The following is a 19,747-nucleotide window of genomic DNA, read 5'->3' as shown; positions in this document are numbered from 1 at the left end:
GCTAACTGGGAGGCTGGGGCAGGAGAACTGCTTGAACCTGGGAGGTGGAGGTTGCAATGGGCCAAGATCGTGCCACTGCACTCCAGCCTGGGCGACAGAGCAAGACTCTGTCTCAAGCAATAACAACAACAACAGAGCCCCAAGTCAGTGTTTCTCAACCTTGCCCCAACCGCTTCCGAATCACCTGTTATTTGTCAAAAATGCAGATTCCTGCCCCCAACTCTGATTTGTTGAATTAGGATGAGGAAGAGGGGACAGCGCCCAGAAATCTGCACTCTCGGCTGGCACCCCAGCCATCACTTATGCACCTGAATGCTTGAGAAATTCTGTCGCAGAACATGGACTTTGGAGTGTCACAGACCTGGGTTCCAGTCCCAGCTCTGCCACAAAGTAGCTGCGTGGTCTGGAGCAATCTCAGTCTCTGTGAAACTCAGTTTCCTCATCTAAAGAAATAGGTTACTACACAAGCTTATTGGTCTTGCTGTGAGTTGATTCTCACAAGACCAATCAAACAATGAAGAAATGTACGCAAAGCACTGGGCACCTCGGAGAGATGGCACCCCCAGCCTAGTGGTAAAGAGAGGGATGCATAGAGGAATGCTTTCTCTGGGAGGAAAGAGCTGGGAGCACTGAGCATTACTCACCCACTGGCAAACACTGACCCACTTCAAAACAATTCTGACTTTCCATTTCCTCTGGGGGGAGCTCAGTGAAGCTTTCAAAGGTGACTAGGTCCTTTCCCATACTCAGGTGTGAGCCATCCCAAGTCCCAAGTTGGGGTCAGGTGTTGTAAACAAAAAATAATACAATTTTGACTCCTTCCACACCTCCAGCTGAGCCCTCCATCCACGGCCCCACCTGCCATTTCCCCTCCACGTGACATTCCTAGATCCCTCACTGGGTGGCAGGCCCAGTCTGAAAGGCCCTCTTGGCAAACCACGGGTCTGCCAAGGTCCCTGGGACCTGTAGCCTCAAAGCCAGGAGTTTCCAAATCCTTCCTTCTCTTTGGCTCTCCCAGTCTGGCCATGCAAAGAAACGCCAGAGCTTTTAAAAAGTTTCGGCCATTCATAATGGATTAGTCCACTCCGGAAACATTCCCCAGCTCTGCTGAGAGCCTGCCAGGCGACTTGGTGACGTGCTGCTCTCAGCGCACACAATGGGCATGGGAGAACAATGACGAGGAGAAAAACATCCCGCCCGCGTGTCCATGGGCTCACATCCTCCTAGGACCCCGCCCCCGCATGCGCTCCCAGAGCTGGGGGAGTGGGGCGGGGGGACGGGGAGGGAGGGATAGAGAGAGGTGCTAGAGGACAACTGCGAGAGCAAGTGAGGGAGGGGAAGAGGAGGAGCTCACCCAAATTTCCCCGGTTTGGCTGCATTCTGAACCAGTTGGGTGAGTCAGATTAGAAGCCAAATCTGCTTATTCTGGCTCTCCTGCTAGCCCCGCGGCCACTGCTCACGGCCCGATGCTGAAACGGATTAAAACCTGAGCTGGCAAACAAAACAGTTCAGAGTTACTGACCTACGGTGCACAGCGTTGGGGCAGGGGTGTGCCTGGTAGGAGGCCAAGTGTTGCCACTTAACCTCCCATGTGCAAGGAGTTCAAAATCCCAAAGCCTCAGTTTCCCCATCCACTGAAATGGGGAAATCGTGCATGCTCTGTTTCCCTCACAGAAGGTGAGGCAACAAGGGCTACTGGGCGTGAAAGCATTTTCATAATTATTAAAAACATTAGCCAGGCGCGGTGGCTCACGCCTGTAATCCCAGCATTTTGGGAGGTTGAGGCAGGTGGATTACTTGAGGTCAGGAGTTCGAGACCAGGCTGACCAACATGGTGAAACCCCGTTTCTACTAAAAATGCAAAATTAGTCAGGCATGGTGACATGCACCTGTAATCCCAGCTACTTGGGAGGCTGAGGCAGGAGAATTGCTTGAACCTGGGAGGCGGAGGTTACAGTGAGCCGAGATTGTGCCATTGCATTCCAGCCTAGGCAACAAGAGTGAAACTCCATCTCAAAAAATAAATAAAAACAAACAAACAAAAACCCAAATAATTATTTAAAAAAATACTTGGTCACCAGGTGGTGTCATTCCTCTGACAAAGCCACTGGGGGAGGTCACAGCCAGGAATTAGAAGGCATGGCGCTTTTCATCCCAGGCAGCTTACAACTTAAACCCAAGAAAGAGACTTAGACACTGAAAACCTAGATACAAGAGTGTAGACTAAGCTGGGTGCGGTGGCTCATGCCTGTAATCCTTTCACTTTGGGAAAGGAGGATGTGAGCCCATGGACGCGCGGGCGGGATGTTTTTCTCCTCGTCATTGTTCTCCCATGCCCATTGTGTGCGCTGAGAGCAGCATGCCAAGGTGGGCGGATTGCCTGAGCTAAGGAGTTCAAGACCAGCCTGGGCAACATGATGAAAGCCCGTCTCTACTAAAATACAAAAAATTAGCCGAGCATGGTGGCATGTGCCTGTAAGTCCCAGCTACTTGGGAGGCTGAGGCAGAAGAATTGCTTCAATCCAGGAGGTGCAGGTTGCAGTGAGCCAAGATAACGCCACCGCACTCCAGCCTGGGTGACAGAGCGAGACTCCGTCTCCAAAAAAATAAAAAGTGTAGACTATAGACAACTAGAATTTCTAGACTGTCTGGCTTGGGGTAGGTCTGGTTGGGGATTGGGAGAATGCTTGGGGGATTTACTGAGAAGTGGTCACTGTTTCTATGCTAAGCTCTGTTTTTCACTTAGGTTATAGGTATTTGGGTGGCCTTTCAGGCAATGGAGGTTATGAGGGAGCTAAGGCCCCTGTGGACCCCTTGGCACCAGCACTGGCATAGGCCCACTTGCTACCACCAGAACTGAGCACATATGGGAGCATTCACGGGGCTGATTAAGGAAGGCTTCCTGGAGGAAGGGAGTTTGAGGCATGTTTGAAAGAAGAAGAGGGGGGATTATAAAACACGAAAGTGACAGCAGACAGGTTTATGTAACATCCAGGAGCAAGAATGAGACTCTGAGGGCATCCAGGACCCACCTTCATTGTAGGGACAAAAGCACCAAGGTCTCAGCCAGGTGAGGGAGTTTGCCCAAGGCACAGTGACTGAACTGGAACTGGTGCTGCAGGGAGCTGGAAGGAAGGAAGGAAGTCCAAACAGAGGGAACGTGGACAGACTCAGGCACAAGGGCTTAAGGTAGGAGGTGCCCTTGGGGAAAATGGGTCCTTGGTCTAGTAGCAAGATTGCAGAGTATGCAAAGAAGTCGGAGCCAGGGTACAAGGGGCTTAGGCACCTTGCTAGCGAGGAGGCTCAACCCTTAGTGGTGACAGTGGGACAGTCAGTGGAATGTCCTGAAGCCTCTCTGGAGGCCCTCTGCAGCCCAGGAACACCTAGGAGTGGAGGTTGGGGAGTAGAGTTTGGAAACACCTTAGAAACAAGATTGGCTGTACCCCGTGACTGTAAATGGGGACTCGAGTCTAAAGTCTAAGCTCAAGGCAGCAGGGGTAGCCCGAGGTGCCTGCTGCTGCATGGAAGGGAAGGGAGAGAGCTGGCCAGGCAAGAGTGGGTTCCAGCAAGTTCCTAATGTAGCAGACATTTCATGTTTGTATTCACTCATATTTTCATTCACAGCTATGAGCCTAGCAGTGAGGCCCAACTCAGTTTACAAGGCTTGCAAACCAGGTAGGTACTGCAGGGGCTGAGGAAGGGGAGTGGAGGGAGGTGGAAGGAGCAAGTCATCTGGGCAGCTGTTTACAATCTCTGGGATAATCCCTACCACATTTCTGCAACCGATATCTCTCTCCTTTACCAGGCTGTGAATTCCTTGAGGATAGAACACTGTTTATTTATTTCTGAATCTCTAGTGTTTCACAGAGTGGTCTAAGCCAAGGAGACTTTTTTTTTTTTTTTTGAGACAAGGTCTTGCCCTGTCGCCCAGGCTCCAGTGCAGTGGTGCAATTAGAGCTAACTGCAGCCCAAACTCCTAGGCTCAAGCGCTCTTCCTGCCTCAGCTTCCAGAGTAGCTGGGACTACAGGCATGCACCCCCATGCCTGGCTACTTTTTAAATATTTGTAGAAACAAGGTCTTGCTATATTGCCCAGCCTGGTCTCGAACTCCTTGCCTCAAGTAATCCTCCCGCTTTAGCCTCCTGAAGCACTGGGATTACAGGTGTGAGTACCGGACCTGGACCCAGGGAGTTTTTTTTTCTTTGTTTTTTGAGACACTCTCACTCTGTTGCCCAGGCTAGAGGGCAGTGGCACCATCTCAGCTCACTGCAACCTCCGCTTCCCGGGTTCAAGCAATTCTTGTGCCTCAGCCTCCTGAGTAGCTGGGATTACAGGTGCATGCCACCATGCCCGGCTAATTTTTGTATTTTTAATAGAAACGGGATTTTACCATGTTGGCCAGACTGGTCTTGAACTCCTGACCTCAGGTGATCCACCTGCCTCGGCCTCTCAAAGTGCTGGGATTACAGGCGTGAGCCACCGTGCCTGGCCCCCAAAAGATTTGTCTCTTAACTTTTAAAAAGTTTTAAAATTTAGGTAATGTTTGTTAAGTTCATAGCCTTTTGCCTAACATCGGTATCTGTTAGAGTAAGGGACACCAGAATTCCCAAACTCTAATGGCATTTTGGGAGGACAGGTAGTTCTCCATAGACAGAAAGGGTTTTATTCACTTGTGTGCCCCACGGAACCATTCCTCCTTTTAGTAAGAAGCCTTTGCCTCCTGGTCACAGCCCTCACAGTGAAACAGAGAAGGTGGGTGATGCCTGCTTCTACCCTCAGGGAAAGATGACATAACAACAGCTTACACTGTGTAATGCTTTCTACATGACCAGTAAATTCTGCGTGCTCTTCTTCTTCTTATTCTTCCTCTTCCTCTTCCTCTTCCTCCTCCTCCTCCTCCTTCTCCTCCTTCTTCTTCTTCTTCTTTTTTTTTTTTGAGACGGAGTCTTGCTCTGTTGCCTAAGCTGGGGTGCCGTGGCGCAATCTTGGCTCACCACAACCTCCGCCTCCCAGTTCAAGCGATTCTCCTGCCTCAGCCTCCTGGGTAGCTGGGATTACAGGTGTGCATCACCATGCCTGGCTAATTTTTGTATTTTTAGTAGAGACGGGGTTTCTCTATGTTGGTTGGCCAGGCTGGTCTCGAATTCCTGACCTTGTGATCTGCTCGCCTCGGCCTCCCAAAGTGCTGGGATTACAGGTGTGAGCCACCGTGCCTGGGCTCTGCGTGCTTTTCATGTACTAATTCATTTAATCCACACTCATCCTATGATCACCCCATTTTGTAGGTGGGGAAACTGAGGCAGAGAGAAGCCATGCGATGTGGCTAAGTTCATACAACTAGGATGTGGTGGTGCCAGGACTTAGGCTGAGGCAGCCTGGCACAGCACTGCCTCTATTGCTTATAAATCTCAACCTCGCCCCACCCCCACTCATCTTCTACAGAGAAGCCAGGCAGTAAATTCCATTACCAAGTGGAACACTGGCTGGAGGTGTGGAATCACAGGTGGCTGAAGGTACCCACTCAAGGCATCTGCCCAAGGCAGGAAACAGTACTGAGCCCTAACCTCTGGCCCCATCTCCTGTTCCCTGAGGTGGCCCTCCTACTCTCATCAACTCGAGCTTTAAGAATCTCAGATTGTGGGCTGGGCATGGTGGCTCATGACTGTAATCCCAGCACTTTGGGAGGCCGAGGCAGGTGGATCACTTGAGGCCAGGAGTTCAAGACCAATCTGGTCAACAGGGCGAAACCCCATCTCCACTAAAAATACAAAAATTAACTGGGCATGGTGGCACATGCCTGTAATCCCAGCTACTTGGGAGGCTGAAGCATGAGAATCGCTTGAACCCAGAAGGCAGAGGTTGTAGTGAGCCAAGATCATGCCACTGCACTCCAGCCTAGGCAACAGAGTGAGACTGTCTCAAAAAAAAGAAAAAAAAGTCCCAGATTAGTTCATTCCCACACCCCAGAATCAGTCTCAGGTCCTGAAAAGCCAAGTCTGGCCTCAAAGCCAGTGACAGGCCTGAGAGGATACCCCTGGCATCCTGGAATCCAAGGAGAAGGGTGTTTGCAAGCCCAGGATCATGCTTTGCCACATTCCTCTGGCTTCTCTGAGGAAGGTATCTCATCTGCCAGTTACACCTTGCTACTCCGCACAGCAAAAAAGAAAGATCCAAGGAATAGGGTCAGGCCAGGTGCAGATCTGGCTGCTGGCTCCTCAGGAACCTGGCAAGACATACCAGAGGCAGTGATGCCCCTGGAATTCCCAAGTGGTTTCCCAGTCTGGGGGACAAAGCACTTACTACCTCAAGAGGCAGCGGATCCACTTTGAGTGACGCCTGACCCAGTGCCTTTTATCATAAATTCTCTTTCCATGTTTACTTCCCCAGCTACGTTTAAAGCTTCCGTGGAGAAAAAACTCTGGGCTGAGGTCATTTTAAAAGTCTTGCAAAATCTTTTAAGTAGGATGTTCTTAATACATTCTTGCTGATTGAGATCTTATCAAGAGTGAAGAATGCAAGAAATAAAAGCATATGATCTTCCACTTTACTTCCAGGAGGGAGGAAGCTGGAATTCCTGCTTGTGGAGAAGTGGGTGGGAGTGTGCAGAGTGAGGATGTGAAGCTCACTCACCTAGCACTCTGGGTCAGGCCCCTCCTGAATATTCATTCTCTTTTTGTCTTTTTTTTTTTTTTTTTTTTTTTGAGACAGGGTCTCACTCTGTCACCCAGGCTGGAGTGCAGTGGCACGATCTCAGCTCACTGCATCCTCCACCTCCTGGGTTCAAACAATTCTCCTGTCTCAGCCTCCCAAGTAGCTGGGATTACAGGGGTCCACCACCACGCCCGGCTAATTTTTGTATTTTTAATAGAGATGGGGCTTCACCATGTTGGCCAGGCTGGTCTCGAACTCCTGGCCTCAAGTGATTCACCCGCCTCGGCCTCCAAAAGGGCTGGGATTACAGGCATGAGACACTGCGCCCGGCCTGAATATTCATTCTTAAATCCTCACAACCTTGTGAAATAGGTGTTATCACTATCTCCGTTTTACAGAGAGGGAAACTGAGGCACAGAGCAGTTAAGGAACATTCCCAAGGTGACACAGCTTGCAAGCCGTAGAGCTGGGATTTGAATCCAAGTCTGTGATTTTGGAGCCTGTGTGTTATTTCCCTGGTTGTTCAAGATTCCTTCTTCCCAGGAACCTAGGACTTAGCCAATCTCTCCTCCAGGGAAAACATGAGGACATTAAAACATTTTATTGTTCTTGAAAAAAAAAAAAACCTTAGGAAATTTTAATAGAATGACTAATGGACAACTGTCTTTCCCCCAAGTAGCTGAGACCTTAAGAAGCTGAGAGGAAGAAAAGATTATCCTAGCCGCCTCTGAGATGCTGAGCTCCTGGGAGTGGGGTCTAAGTCAGGGTCAAGTTTGTATCCTGGGTACTGAAAACAGAGCCTGGCACAGAGTCTGGAACCATCTGATGGATAATGAGTAAATTAGGGAGGGAGGAGCTCTGGAGGAGACAGGAAGATGAGGAACTGGGCTAGAAGTTTCTAGCCCAGAAAGGGGCAAGCAGGAGTGCTGACCACATGCAGGAGGGCAGCGGGGATCCTCCCTGCCACGCCCTGTCCATGCTTCAGCTCTCCATGTTTGCGTCACATCACCAGGAAGGGCCCAGGGATGCAGGAGCAAGGGTTGATGCTTGGCATTGAGAACACATCTCAGGGACTGGAGGCTTGGGTTGATTCAAGGGAGAGGCTGCAAAATCTCCTTCCTTAGACAAGAGGCTGGGTCAAATTATTGATCTCTGGGTTTCAGTATTACTCAGGGCCGCCCACTGAGTAATACCTAGTGCCCCCAAGGGGCACTGAGAGAAGTAAAAAGAAGCAGGAAGAAGGAAGAGGAGAAAACAAGGGAGGAAGCGGGAGTGGCCACGTGGCACCTGCAATCTCATCAGAGCTGCCCTTGGCCCCACCCGTCCTGTCTAGGAGAATTGGCACACACTCCCTGGAGTCTGGGCACTGACCATCAGCAATGATGCCAGCCACCGGGCCTCCACAGCTAGGGCGGGAGCAGGGCCCTGGTGCCCAATGATGCTTTTAGTTGGCAGATGGTGGGAGGTTCTGAGGGTCCGGAAGAGGGGCTGAGTCATCACTCAGGGGGCACTTGGTGGGGTGGGGGATAGTGACTTTTGCCCAACCCCCAGGTGTCAACTGGCTGCCTGTCAGACAATGCTTTTAGGTGACCAGAAGGCAAGGATTTCCCAGTCCCTGGAAACCAGATGCCCATCCTCCATGCAAACAAGTGAGGTGGAGTGTCCGTGCCAGTGCCCACACCTGCCCGGAGGCAGCTGCTCAGGTAGGCTGACCTGGGTTGTAATTGACAGTCCACCTTACTCCCTGTGTGGCCATGCAGGTCACCTAACCCTAGAGCCTCTGTGGCCCTCCCTGGGATTAGGATGACAGTCCCTCTCGCAGCAACACAGGAGAGCAGGTGCTTCCCTTCTCCCTTCCCACCACACCTGCTGCTGCTCTACCACCACCTGGGGGATCCTTCCTCTCCCTGCCCCATCACCCTCCTTATAGGGGCTGACATCTCCTATTTGACCCTCTGAGCCTTTAAAAACAGAGGCCAGTGGCTTCCCATCTCAGAATAAAATCCAGAACCCGTACCACAGCCCGCAAGACCCCGCACGAGTGAGCGGTTCTCAACCCTGGATACATGTTAGGGTCATCTGAATCAATCTGAGCTGGGGCCGGATGGCAGTGGATCTTAAGCACTTCCCAGGTGGATCTAATGGGCAGAGCCACTGCCCCACATGATACATCCCTCCTGCCATGCTGCCTGGCTCACTGTGCCCTGGCCTCACTGCCTCTCACTCATTCTCAAGTACGTTCACCTCAGGGCCTTTGTTGGAATACTCTGTCCCTGGCTGTCCACCTGGCCCCCTTACACAACATAGCTCACTTTTTTTTTTTTTTTTTTTTTTTTTGGTACAGGGTCTCACTCCATTGCCCAGGCTGGATGGTAGTGGCATGATCACTGCTCACTGCGGCTCGACCTGGGTTCAAGTGATCCTCCTACCTCAGCCTCCTGAGTAGCTGAGACTACAGGCATGAGCCGTCACACCCAGCTAATTTTTTTTTAAATAGAGACGGGGTCTCGCTATGTTGCCCAGGCTGATCTCAAACCCTTGGGCTCAAGCGATCTGCCTGCCTTGGCATCCCAAAGTGCCAGAATTACAGGTGTGAGCCACCACGCCCAGCCCATAGCTCATTTTTGATGGAGAGGTCCCTCCCTGACCAGGCAGTTCCCCTCCCTATGCCATCACATTCTTCCCCCTCAAACCTGCCCCTGCCTTATTTTGTCTCATCACACTTATGACCCCTTGATATGCCTGTTGGTTTGGATAACGTCTTATACCCCCCACTGGAACATAAGCTCTATGAGAGTAGGGCTTGGCCATCTTGTTCACGGCTGTATCCTCAGTGCCTAGCACAGCACCGGGTGCACAGTGGGTTCTTGAGAAAACCTGTTGTAATCAAGGCCATCTCTGCCGGCAGGTCTGAGCTTCTGGAAGGTAGGGGTGGAATGTCATGCATCTTGGTGTCCCTGGCATCTAGCACAGGGCCAGGCATGGAGGAGGCTGTGGCTAATTCATGGTGCTGATGATTTGCTCTGGAGATAGAGGGGCTCACTGGGGTGCTGTAGAGTGTCACGGCCAAAAGCAAGGGTCTGAGCAGTGATAGAGGTGGGGAGATGGCCCAAAGGAGGCTGGGATGCTTCAAGAAGGGAGGAAAGGAGCAGGCCTGCAACAGTGTCTGACACTTGGCTGACCCAGGGGGCCTAGCAGGGTAGAGGAGTGGTGGCCTATTAGACATCAGCCCTGACCACTGGACCCAGAGAGTAGGGGCAGGGTGAATGGGAGCCCACAGGAGGGTGGGGCAGGGGAGAGCGAGCTCCAGGTCCCACCGGGGTGCAAGATGATGTGGGCAGTGCCAAGCACAGGAGCTGATATCACCCCCACCCTGTAGAGTTCAGCAAATAGGACATTTTGTCTGAAGCTGCAGGGCTGCTACATGCCTCAAATGCCCCTGCCAAGTGGCCATGGTGGAGGGGACGGCATCTGCACCCTGGATATTCCTGACCTGTCCCAGAAGCAGGCAGGTGACAAGTGAGGCCTGAGGGGGAATGACTTGTAAAAGGCTGCTTTGGGCCGGGGATTCCAGCAGAATGGGGCAGGCTCCTGTTTTTGAGAGTCACCGGCATAAGGAAATGATTGCAGGGGTGCCCAGGAAACCGAGGGCTCCAGGACACTGGGTTGGGTTGTAGCTCAGCCTGGTCCCTGGGAGCCCAGTGGCAGCTCATGGCCAAAATCACTCAGCCCCTCTTCACACCCGAACCCAGCTTCCTTCTCCGGAGCCATCACTTTTTGAGCACCAATCATATCCAAGGCCTGGTGTAGGCCTGTCCAGCTGAGTTCCACACCCCCAGGCTGGCCGGCACTCCCAGCCCTGGCAGCTTTCTAGGGCAGAAGCTCAGCATGCCTGATGTCAGAAGCCCCTAGGTGTGTGCCTCCTCAGCAGGGCCACAGCTGCAGCAGCAAGAACGGCTGCCCCCAGCGACTCTGGGCCACCTCTGCCTGCCACAAGAGTTGCCTTGCAAAGTGCTCCTCAAGGCAGCATCTGCCCATATCCTTCCTTGTGTGTTTTCCTCCCTCCAGGGCCTCTGCACTATCTCCACCTCACCCTCCCCACGCCTCCCACTCCTTAAAGACCACAGGGCTGGGGGGCAGACACCTGGGATTCTAATTTGGTATGTGACCCCAGGCTACCCCTGGGAGGCTCCTGTCCTCATCTGCAAAGTGGGGAGAAAGGGGGGTTTCTATGAGGATTCAGTGAGACAATGCCTGGGCACAGGGCTGCCTGGCACCCAGCAGGGAACTTAATAAATGTCTGGTTTCCAATTCCCACCAATGCATTTCCCAGCCCTTCTCCTCCCCTCAAGCACTAATTGTCTGAGTTACGACCCTACTTTGGTGTCTGGCTGCCTACAAGCAAAGTGAGGAGGTCTCCTTCGGTAGAACTGGTGCTGAGCTGAGAATGGAGCCCTGGCCCGCCCCTTACTTCCAGAGCCTTGGGAGACATCATCAACCTCAGCATCAGCTTCCTCCTCTGGAAAGCAGCCACCCTCTTAAGTAACTGCAAACCATGCCGGCAAACTGCAAAGTGCTTAAGGCCAGGCATGAGGACAGGTCAGGAGGCAGGGTTTCGGGCCTGGCATTCTCAGAGTGGTCTCGGGAAGAACAAACCTGGACACCGAACTGGACAACAGCAGGACTCTGAGCACTTTGGGAGCTGTGTATGATGTGTTGCGGGGGTGGGTTGTGTCCAGATCAAAGGTGGGGAGGCGGTCTAGGCAGCAGCAGGAGGTGTATTCGAGGTCTGCAGCAATTCTTGCAGAGCCTGAATTACAGTGAGGCCCACACCCTCGTCCTGCTGCCCTGGCCTTGGCCATCTCCCATGTCAACCTCATCTTGATCTTGCCTACCTCCCTCCCCAGAAGCCAGGGGGCCATTTGGCATCAGGAACACAGGGATTAGCTGCACGGCCAGACCCCAGACCCCCGCCCAGGGGTCCCTCTTTGCTCTCCTGGCCAGCCCCACCCCACAGGCACCAACTTGGGCCAATGCCAGGCCACAGGTCAGACTCCCAGGCCTGGGACTCCTCTGCCCACCCACAACAACCACTGATGCTCCTCAGCAAGAGCCAACTTCTGGCTCTGAACGCAGCAGCACCCAGGATACAGCAAGGTGAATGCTAGGCACTCGTCCCACAGCCTGGGGTGTAGGGGAGGTCAGAGATACACACAAATCAAACTCTCTCCTCACTATATATATATATATATATATATATATATACACACACACACACACACACACACACACACACACATACACACAAGCACACCCCACCCACACTCATTAGGCCTGGAGGGGGGACTTCAGTTCTCCATCTTTGGCATCAATCTATCAAAGTCAGCTTTTCTGTACGAGACTGCTCGCTCCTTTCTGTACATGAATTAAATATATTATCTGTCTCTGCACTGAGTCACACGACGTTCACAGTACCGTGGGGAGGAGTGGAGGGTGGGGGCCTGAGGTGGGCAGGGCAGGGGGCCTGGGTAGAAAGGCGAGGCTGGCCTCCCCTTGGCCTGTGCCATTCAGGATCAGCCCAGTGTTGAGGAGACCTGGGGGATACAGAGGGGAGCCTTCTTCAGGGGCCCCGGCCACCCAGGCTTCCAGCCCCCGGAGGCAAGCCTCTCAGCATCAGAGCCTGCTCCTGTTCCACGTTCCTCTCCCTCAGATGGTGGCATCTACACCTCTCCCTGTCGTGGCCGCCCTCTGGGGTGGCAGGGGCTGGGGGAAGCTGGTATTGGGATCAGGTGGACAGAGCCACAAGGGCTGGGAAGGAAGGATGGGGAGGCTGTGCGAGCCTTCGGGAGCTGAGGTCAGCCTGGCACCAGTGTCAGGGTGACTCTGCATATCTGGGTGCCGTCCCCAGGACCCTGACCAGGCCTGGCTAATCAGAGCCCTGGGATGATAAGGTAAGCAGGAGCCACCTCGGGAAGGGGTGGACAGGCAGGAGCCGGTCACAGCTCCAAGGGCAGTGAGTACGGTACCACCTGCCAATTTAAGGCAACTCCATTCAGACTGATGAGCTGGGCGGGGGCTGGCTGAGGTGGCAGGCGTGCAACTGGCGGTCCCAGGCCACCTCTGGACACAGCTGGGCATCCAAGCATGCCAGCAAAGCGTATGCCGGCACTGCTCAGCCATGGTTCAAGCCAGAGGGTGTCGGGGAATGAGGGTAGGGTAGGGCTGATGGAAAGAGTGGGGACTACTATTCCTTCTGTTGCTGTGGGACACCTGCCAGGTGGGGTAGGCTTTGGCACACATGTGGGTACCTAGGATTCCAGGGTCCCAGAGAACATGCCATGTCTCTTCTTGCTCTCAGAGGGGAAAAAGATGAAACGTGTGTGGGCTCCAAGGGGCCAGAAAGGGGGACTACCAAACTGGCACTAGGCAGGTCCTGGGGGAGGAGGGTAGAGCCTGTATCCAGGGCAGAGTGCCCATCCTGGCGCCTTGATTCTGTCATCCGTGTGCATCCCACGCAGGTGCCCAAACACCAGGGTGGGAGAGGGTACGAGGACCGCCCCCCCCTCATGTCCTCTCAGGGAAGCAGCTTATGCCAGCCCCAACGTGGGTAAAGGAGGGGTTGGTATGCAGGTGAGGGCTACTGGGGAGGCACACGGGAAGCACAAAGAAGAAACAGCCGTGGCCAGAAGGGCTGCCAAGCGGTCTTCCAGGCTGGCTGTCAGCCCTCGTTCTTCAGTCCTCCGAGGGCCACACAGGCTCCATCCTACCCGAATTTGTGCTCCATGTGATCTCTTGTCCCTTGGCCACAGCAAGGTGGGCGTGGCTCAGAAGATGCTCTGCCGCCTGTTCTTCCCTCGTCCTGGAGAATGGAGAAGAGGTGGGGCTGCAGGGAGGAGGCTGGGCTGACGGGTACCCCAGGTCAGCAGGGACAGTCGCTGTCCCCCAGAGCTGCTCTGACAGAGCAAGCAAGGGCATGCAAACAGGAGCCGGTCTGACCTGGTGTCAAATCCCATCTCTGCTACTTACTAGCTGCATGAACTTGTGACTTAACCTCCCAGAGCCTCAGTTTCATTGACTATGAAATGGGGAATATTAATAGTACTAGCTTCAAGGGGTATTTTAAGGATTAAAGAAGACGATGCATGGAAAGCATTTGTCAATGTCCAAGGCCATTGACTGTTCTAGGAACAAAGTACCGTTCTCCCAGGATGGAATCTGATTAGAGAGCTCAGGGTTTGCAGAGAGAATGCACCAGAGACAGCATGCCTCTTTGCCAGGGCTACTGTCAAATGCAATGTCCTGTCTGGGGTGGAGGGTTGAGGAGGGAAGAGCTGGACGAGGAAGTCTAGGCAGGAGAAACCAACCCCTTCTCTGCTCCCCAAAGAGTCCAAAGGGAAGCCAGTGGTGGGGGGACCATGGGAGTCCCCACTGGGGAGGGGTCGCCTGCTCTGGCTTCCACTAACAAGGGGAGGGGTCCAGGAGAGCACAAGCCCCTACCTGGCTGCTGGAAGGCCAAGCCTCGGTAGCCTGGGTCCTTCTGGAGCTGGATCTCCTTCAGGGAGAAGATGGAGGCAGCTGGGGGAGAGAAGTGCATAGTCTGGAGAGGGCTGCGTGGAGCTGGCCTCCAGTAAGGACTGGCCCAGAAGGACCAACTGAGCCCTCGAGGCAGCGTCTCATTTCCACTGTTTGCCCCCTCAATTTGGAATGAGAACCCCAGCAGGGGAGGCAAGGTGCCCGGGGCTGCTCTGCTGGGGCTGGGGCCTCTGGCCTCTTTGTTCTGGTTCTTCTGCCCACACTCACCAACCCCTTTCCTTGGTTCTGGGTGGCCCTGCTCCCGGACCCCCAGTACTCACTGTCTTCAAGCTGGTGCACACGCTCTCCCAGAGACCGGAAGTAGGAGTGACTCAGGGCAGCCTCTGCTGACATGCGACTCTTGGATTCATACTGAAAGGCACAGGGTGGGGCTATTGGGCCCGGCTGGGGGGCTGCAAACCCTCTGGGCAGCAGGACTCCAGTGCTGGTTAGAGCACCAAGGTGGGTGAGGCTTGAGGCTAACAGGAGAAGCCCCAGGTCAGCCTCCAGCCCCTACCACAAACCCAACCTCAGGCCATCTCAAGACTCAGGGGAAGGCTCCTCGGTCTCCAGCCACCAGGAAAAACCAGAAATGAAACTTCAGGAGAGTGACCTTCTCTTGGGATAGAAATACAGATGCAAACCAACCATGATCAGATGGAGAACATCCGTAACAGGAAGCGTAGTGCCGATAACAACCCTTCATCGTGTGCCTTACAAGACAGGCACCACACTAAGTGTGTCCCGTCATCTCAATGTATCCTCACGGCCATCTTATAAAATAGGTATTAATCCCACTTTGCAGCTGAGGAAACTGAGGCATGGAGGAGCTCTGTAACTTGCCCAGAGCTACACAGCTAAGTAACGGGTTTGGGCTCGCAGTGCACAGACTCCAGAGGATGTGTATGGAGGCCACCCCTTGGCCTTGGGGGTGGAGAGTACAGGGGAGATGTTTCAAAGACGTGTAAGCACACGAGCCACAGAAGTTGGGGCGTAGGCCCGGCATGGGGCACAGGGACCTGGCTCTTTGGCTGCCTCTCCCTGGGCCCCGCCGGGAGGACACTCACCAGGAGCAGGCTGCTCAGGAGGTGGATGCCATCCGTATCCAACCTGCAAGGAGAAGGCGCGGACACAGGCTGTGCCTGATTGGGGATGGGAGAGCCAGGGCCGCAGCAGGAGGGGCGGCGGGCGCAGGGGCTACCTGGGCGCGTGGTTGATGAGCGGCTGCGGGAGGTAGCAGGGGAAGCTGTAGGTGCGGAACTCAGAGAAGGCGGTCACGCCGGGCCACGTCTCTTCTGTGGGGGTCCCTGGGGAGACGAGAGAGGGTGGGGAGGGCCTGCGTGAGGCCCAGGGCCAAGGCCGACTTGAAAGGGATGCAATGTATGAGGTGGGAGCAAAGATGGCCGAGGCCACAGGGGGTCCCCGCCCGGGAGAGAGGCGGCCGAGCCGCTCCTCCCCGTCCCGCTCCGCGCCTGGGCTGGAGGAGTTCCGGCGCCCCCTGGTGGTGAGAGGGACGGAGCAGCGGGAGACTGACCGAGGAGGCGAAAGATGAGGTGCAGCTCCTCCTTGACTGTGGAGCCCGGGAAGAGGGGCCTCCCTGTGGCCATCTCGTAGTGGATGCAGCCCACGCCCCTGCGAGGAGCAAGGGGTAGGGTCGGCATCAGGCAGGGGCGGCCGCCCTTCCTAGGGCTGCTCCACCAGGGCACCAATGACGACCTGCCACAGGCGGCTGCAGGGATCGTGGCTCTGGCGGCGGAGGGGTGGCCCAGGGCAGTGGAGGCTCCTAGAACTGCCCAGCCCCCACTACAGCCCCTCTCTGGGGGGCTTCCCTGGGCTCGGGAAAGCTGCGACTTTCACTCTGTGAGGAAAGTCCCCTTTCACTCTGTGAGGTTTGGGTCTGTGCAGCCAGCGCCCATGTGGCAATTCTCTCAGCAGTGTTGTCTCAAACTCTCTCCACTGTGTGCCCCACTGGAAGAGAAGTACATAAATCCATTCTCCTGGGGAACCTTGGGGCGGAGTCACAGCAGCCATTCATAACCACCGGCGGCTTGGCTTGCAATTTGGGCTGATTTTTCATTTTACACCAAATCATACACTTGTTCATTTTAACATAAAAATAGTACTTCTCTTTCAAAATTTTCACTGGGACTGATGCTTGGGGAAGATTCATCGTATTTACTATAGGGGCCCTCCTGGACCCTCTGGGTCTCTGGTAACCCCCCACAGGCCTCTGGGGGAGGATTTCAAATGCACAGGCTTGGGGGTCTATTTAAGCCAGGGAAACCCTAACCTATTATATTTCAGACCTAATTTTTTAACATCCATTTCAGCAGGATGTCACAAGGCTTTTAGGCAAAGGAAGTTAGGCAGTTCTTCCCCGAGGCCCTTGGGGAAGCAAAGGAGAGTCTGGAGGTGTGGCCAGGCCTGTCCTCCCCTCCTCGGTCCCCACAGTGCTCACTCACCACATATCAATGGGGGTGGAGTACTCTGTGGATCCCAGCAGCACATCGGGGGGCCTGTACCACAGGGTCACCACCTCATTGGAGTAAGTCTTTGTGGGCACTGACTTGGCCCTGGCCAGTCCTGGGGGCAGACATGTCACTGGACCTCTGTCCACAGGTGCTGTGGGGTTGACTGCTATGCCCTCCCCCACTGCACCCACACCCTGAGGCACCCCAGTAGCGTCAGACCCCCACCCTAGCCCCAGCCTCACCAAAGTCGGCCAGCTTCAGCTCCCCCCTCTCGTTGATGAGCAGGTTCTGGGGCTTCAGGTCCCGGTGCAGGATCTTGCGGTGGTGACAGTAGGCGAGGCCCCGGAGCAGCTGGAACATGAAAATCTGGGGGAGGGGGAAGAGAAATGTGGGGTGGAAGGTGGCCCTGAGCCTCTGCTCCAAGGCTGGGACCAGGATGGGGGCAGGGGCTTGGCAGTGAGGTCAGCACAAGCCCCTCATTCTCCTGCACACCCTGCAGCCCCCATCCTGGACCCCACCCACACCAGGGAATCCCATCCAGAGGGGAGGACAGCAGGGGTGCAGAGGACGCAGTGAGTGTGGGGGAGGCCAGCGAAGTCTCAGTCAGGAGCACGGGGGTCAGGATGCCCGCCTATGTGGAGACATATGTGCTTGATCCCTTTTTTTTTTTTTTTTCTTTTAGAGTCAGGGTTTTACTCTGTCACCCAGGCTGGAGTGCAGTGGTGTGATCATGGCTCACTGCAGCCTCAACCTCCCGGGCTCAAGTGGCCCTCCTGCCTCAGCCTCTCAAGCAGCTGGGACTATGGGTGCACGCTACTGTGCCCGGCTAATTTTTCAATTTTTAGTAGAGATGAGGTCTTGCCATGTTGCCCAGGCTGGTCTCAAACTCCTGGGCTCAAGCCATCTTCCTGCCTTGGCCTCCCAGTGCTGGGATTACAGGCGTGGGCCACCATGCCCAGCCTTGATTCTTTAACAAACACCAGGAGAGGTCATTCATAACCCCGAGCTTCCCCAGAAGCCTCCCTGCATTTTGGCAGGTAGCTCACACTCCCATTTGACAGACTGGGAAACTGATGTTCAGAGTTGAGAGTGGGTTTTATACCAACAGCTAGACAGTGGCAGACAGTGTGTGTCTGTTCTTGGGGTAAAGCGCTCAACCCAGTTCCTGGACTCGTTGATGGCATTGCCCTCTCCCTCTTTCCTACGTGGGAAGGTCTGAGCCACCTCAGCAGCCGGATCCCTGGTGGTGAGAGTGGGTCCCCACACTGGGCTTCTGGACAGGTGGCTGCCAAGATGGGGGGACCCTGCCCCCGAGGCCTCACCTTGACGTTGTGCATGCTCATGAGGTTCCCACAGTGGTCCAGATACTGCTTCAGGTCACTGTCCTGGAACACAGAGCGTGGCTCAGTCCTGCCCCACGCTGACCCCTGGCCAGAAGCCCAGACACAGGCTGAGGAGAGGAAGCCCCTCCCTGGGAAGGGCCCACGCCCACTAGTGGGACAGGTCCCTGGCTCGAGCCACCCGTAAGCCTGAGCTCTTGGCCCACTCCTGCACGGGAGCATCTGAAAATCTGATTCCAGAACAAGGCCTGGGTCGCCCTCATCCCACTACTCCCACTCCCTCAGCTTCCCACTCCCCTACCCACACCCCGTTTCCACCACAAGAGGGAGAGGCGGCCAGCCCCAGCCGGACTCTCACCAGGTACTCAAACACCAGGGTGAGGGACCGATCTGTGTGGATGAGGTCATGCAGGGTCACAATATTGGCGTGCTTCAGGTTCTTCAGCAGAGACACTGTGAGGAGACAGATCCACCTGGGTCCCTAGGACCCCATGTGTCCCCATACCCTCTTTTCTTGGGGTCAGCGCCAGGAGTCCCATTCCAGCAATGATCCTCTACCCCCAGCTCCCACAAGGGTGCAGGCTGGTGAACCCCTCCTCCTGAAGCCCCCAGGGGAGCGTGGGAGCCTAGGATGCTGTACCCTCTCGGATGGCAGTGCAGGGCGCTCCCTCCTCGTGCTCCAGCCGGATCTCTTTCAGGGCCACAAGGTTCTCCGTCAGTTTGCTGCGCCCTTTGAAGACTGTGGCATAGGTGCCCTGGGATGGAGGGCCACAGCGGCCCCAGGCGCATTCAGGTGCTGCTGGCCTCTGTCCAGTGCCTCCCCATTTGTGCCTCTGCCTGGGCTACGACTGGGGCCTGAGTGCCCTTCCTCCCTTTACTGACATGCTGTTTCCTCCAAAGCCTACTTCCTCCAGGAAGCATCCCTAATGACTCCCCAGTCGGAGTGAATCCGTCCTTCCTCTAAGCCCCAGCACGCCGCGTGCCCGTCTATGATAACACCAGGTTTTTTCTTCCTTATACGATGCTGATGTTTACACAGAGGTCACCTCTTTGGGCTCCTGGAGGGAAAGGGCTGTGTGTTCCCTCTCTCTATAAACCTTCACCCACCCCAGGCCTCTGCACAGTGACAACAAAAATAGCTAAGTGACACAGCACTTCCTATGTGCCAGGCATTGTCTGTGTGCCGTACATAAGCTGATTACAGTAACCTGCCCAATCCTCACAATAACCCTATGTGATAGGACAATTACTGTCTCATTGGACAGAGGAAGAAACTGAGGCACACAGAGAGGTCATGTAACTTGCCAAAGGTCACAGAGCTAGTAAATGGTGGAGCTAGGTTTTGAACCCAGGCAAGAAGGACTTGCAGAAAAAAAAAAGACTGGATTCTGCCCAGGGCCATGGCTACTCTATCCTCACGCCCTCCTTCAGGATCTGAGCTCACTTCAATCCCTGCCAAAGCCTGGGCCAGAGCGCACAGCCAAGACTGTGCACCTCTATGGGGCAGGGGCCAGGAGAGGGCCAACCAGAGAGGGCCGACCAGAGAGGGCCGACTAGGGAGGTCTGCCCCTCCTCCAAGCCATCCTGCCTGGCTATTCGGAGAAGACCAAACCCAGCGTCTTACCTCTCCCAGTTTGTCCAGTTTCACGTATGTTTCCAGTTTCCCAAAGCCAATGTCTGACTGAGAGGGAGAGACATAGAATGCCGTGAGCT

The 19,747-nt window shown here is 54.7% G+C and overlaps 1 protein-coding gene across 11 annotated transcripts in view, besides 5 other annotated features; it reads right to left on the bottom strand.

Annotated features, from left to right (window-relative positions):
• Positions 1,019 to 1,313: an enhancer, noted in NCBI's record as "tiled region #5902; K562 Activating DNase unmatched - State 4:PromP". NCBI's record gives its function as "activates a minimal TATA promoter and a strong SV40 promoter by Sharpr-MPRA in K562 cells {active_cell/tissue: K562}" and the evidence as "EXISTENCE:reporter gene assay evidence [ECO:0000049][PMID:27701403]".
• Positions 1,174 to 1,303: a silencer, noted in NCBI's record as "silent region_1744". NCBI's record gives its function as "represses an Ori minimal core promoter by ATAC-STARR-seq in GM12878 lymphoblastoid cells {active_cell/tissue: GM12878}" and the evidence as "EXISTENCE:reporter gene assay evidence [ECO:0000049][PMID:35858748]".
• Positions 1,404 to 1,453: a silencer, noted in NCBI's record as "silent region_1743". NCBI's record gives its function as "represses an Ori minimal core promoter by ATAC-STARR-seq in GM12878 lymphoblastoid cells {active_cell/tissue: GM12878}" and the evidence as "EXISTENCE:reporter gene assay evidence [ECO:0000049][PMID:35858748]".
• Positions 7,916 to 8,417: an enhancer, noted in NCBI's record as "H3K4me1 hESC enhancer chr1:205505565-205506066 (GRCh37/hg19 assembly coordinates)". NCBI's record gives its function as "activates a minimal SCP1, AML or CMV promoter by ChIP-STARR-seq in naive H9 embryonic stem cells {active_cell/tissue: H9 hESC(naive)}" and the evidence as "EXISTENCE:reporter gene assay evidence [ECO:0000049][PMID:30033119]".
• CDK18 (cyclin dependent kinase 18) overlaps positions 12,064 to 19,747 on the bottom strand; it is a 28,122-nt gene continuing 20,438 nt past the window's right edge. For 6 of the 11 annotated variants that reach the window (XM_047422207.1, XM_047422212.1, XM_047422209.1 and 3 more), the window contains exons 5-13: positions 19,659 to 19,715; positions 18,675 to 18,789; positions 18,393 to 18,487; positions 18,017 to 18,079; positions 16,937 to 17,060; positions 16,686 to 16,806; positions 15,758 to 15,855; positions 15,425 to 15,530; positions 14,602 to 15,333 (exon numbers count right to left, since the gene is read on the bottom strand). In XM_047422207.1, the coding sequence (XP_047278163.1) occupies positions 15,081 to 15,333; positions 15,425 to 15,530; positions 15,758 to 15,855; positions 16,686 to 16,806; positions 16,937 to 17,060; positions 18,017 to 18,079; positions 18,393 to 18,487; positions 18,675 to 18,789; positions 19,659 to 19,715 (1,032 nt within the window). In that variant the 3' untranslated portion in view covers positions 14,602 to 15,080. The other 5 variants (NM_002596.4, NM_212503.3, NM_212502.3 and 2 more) reach the window with 1 other exon arrangement.
• Positions 15,602 to 15,721: a silencer, noted in NCBI's record as "silent region_1742". NCBI's record gives its function as "represses an Ori minimal core promoter by ATAC-STARR-seq in GM12878 lymphoblastoid cells {active_cell/tissue: GM12878}" and the evidence as "EXISTENCE:reporter gene assay evidence [ECO:0000049][PMID:35858748]".

This window comes from Homo sapiens, chromosome 1, assembly GCF_000001405.40.
Source record: "Homo sapiens chromosome 1, GRCh38.p14 Primary Assembly".
NCBI classification, from domain to species: domain Eukaryota; kingdom Metazoa; phylum Chordata; class Mammalia; order Primates; family Hominidae; genus Homo; species Homo sapiens.
Note: the sequence above shows the minus strand (reverse complement) of the source record. Positions and strands in the feature narration are given on the sequence as shown.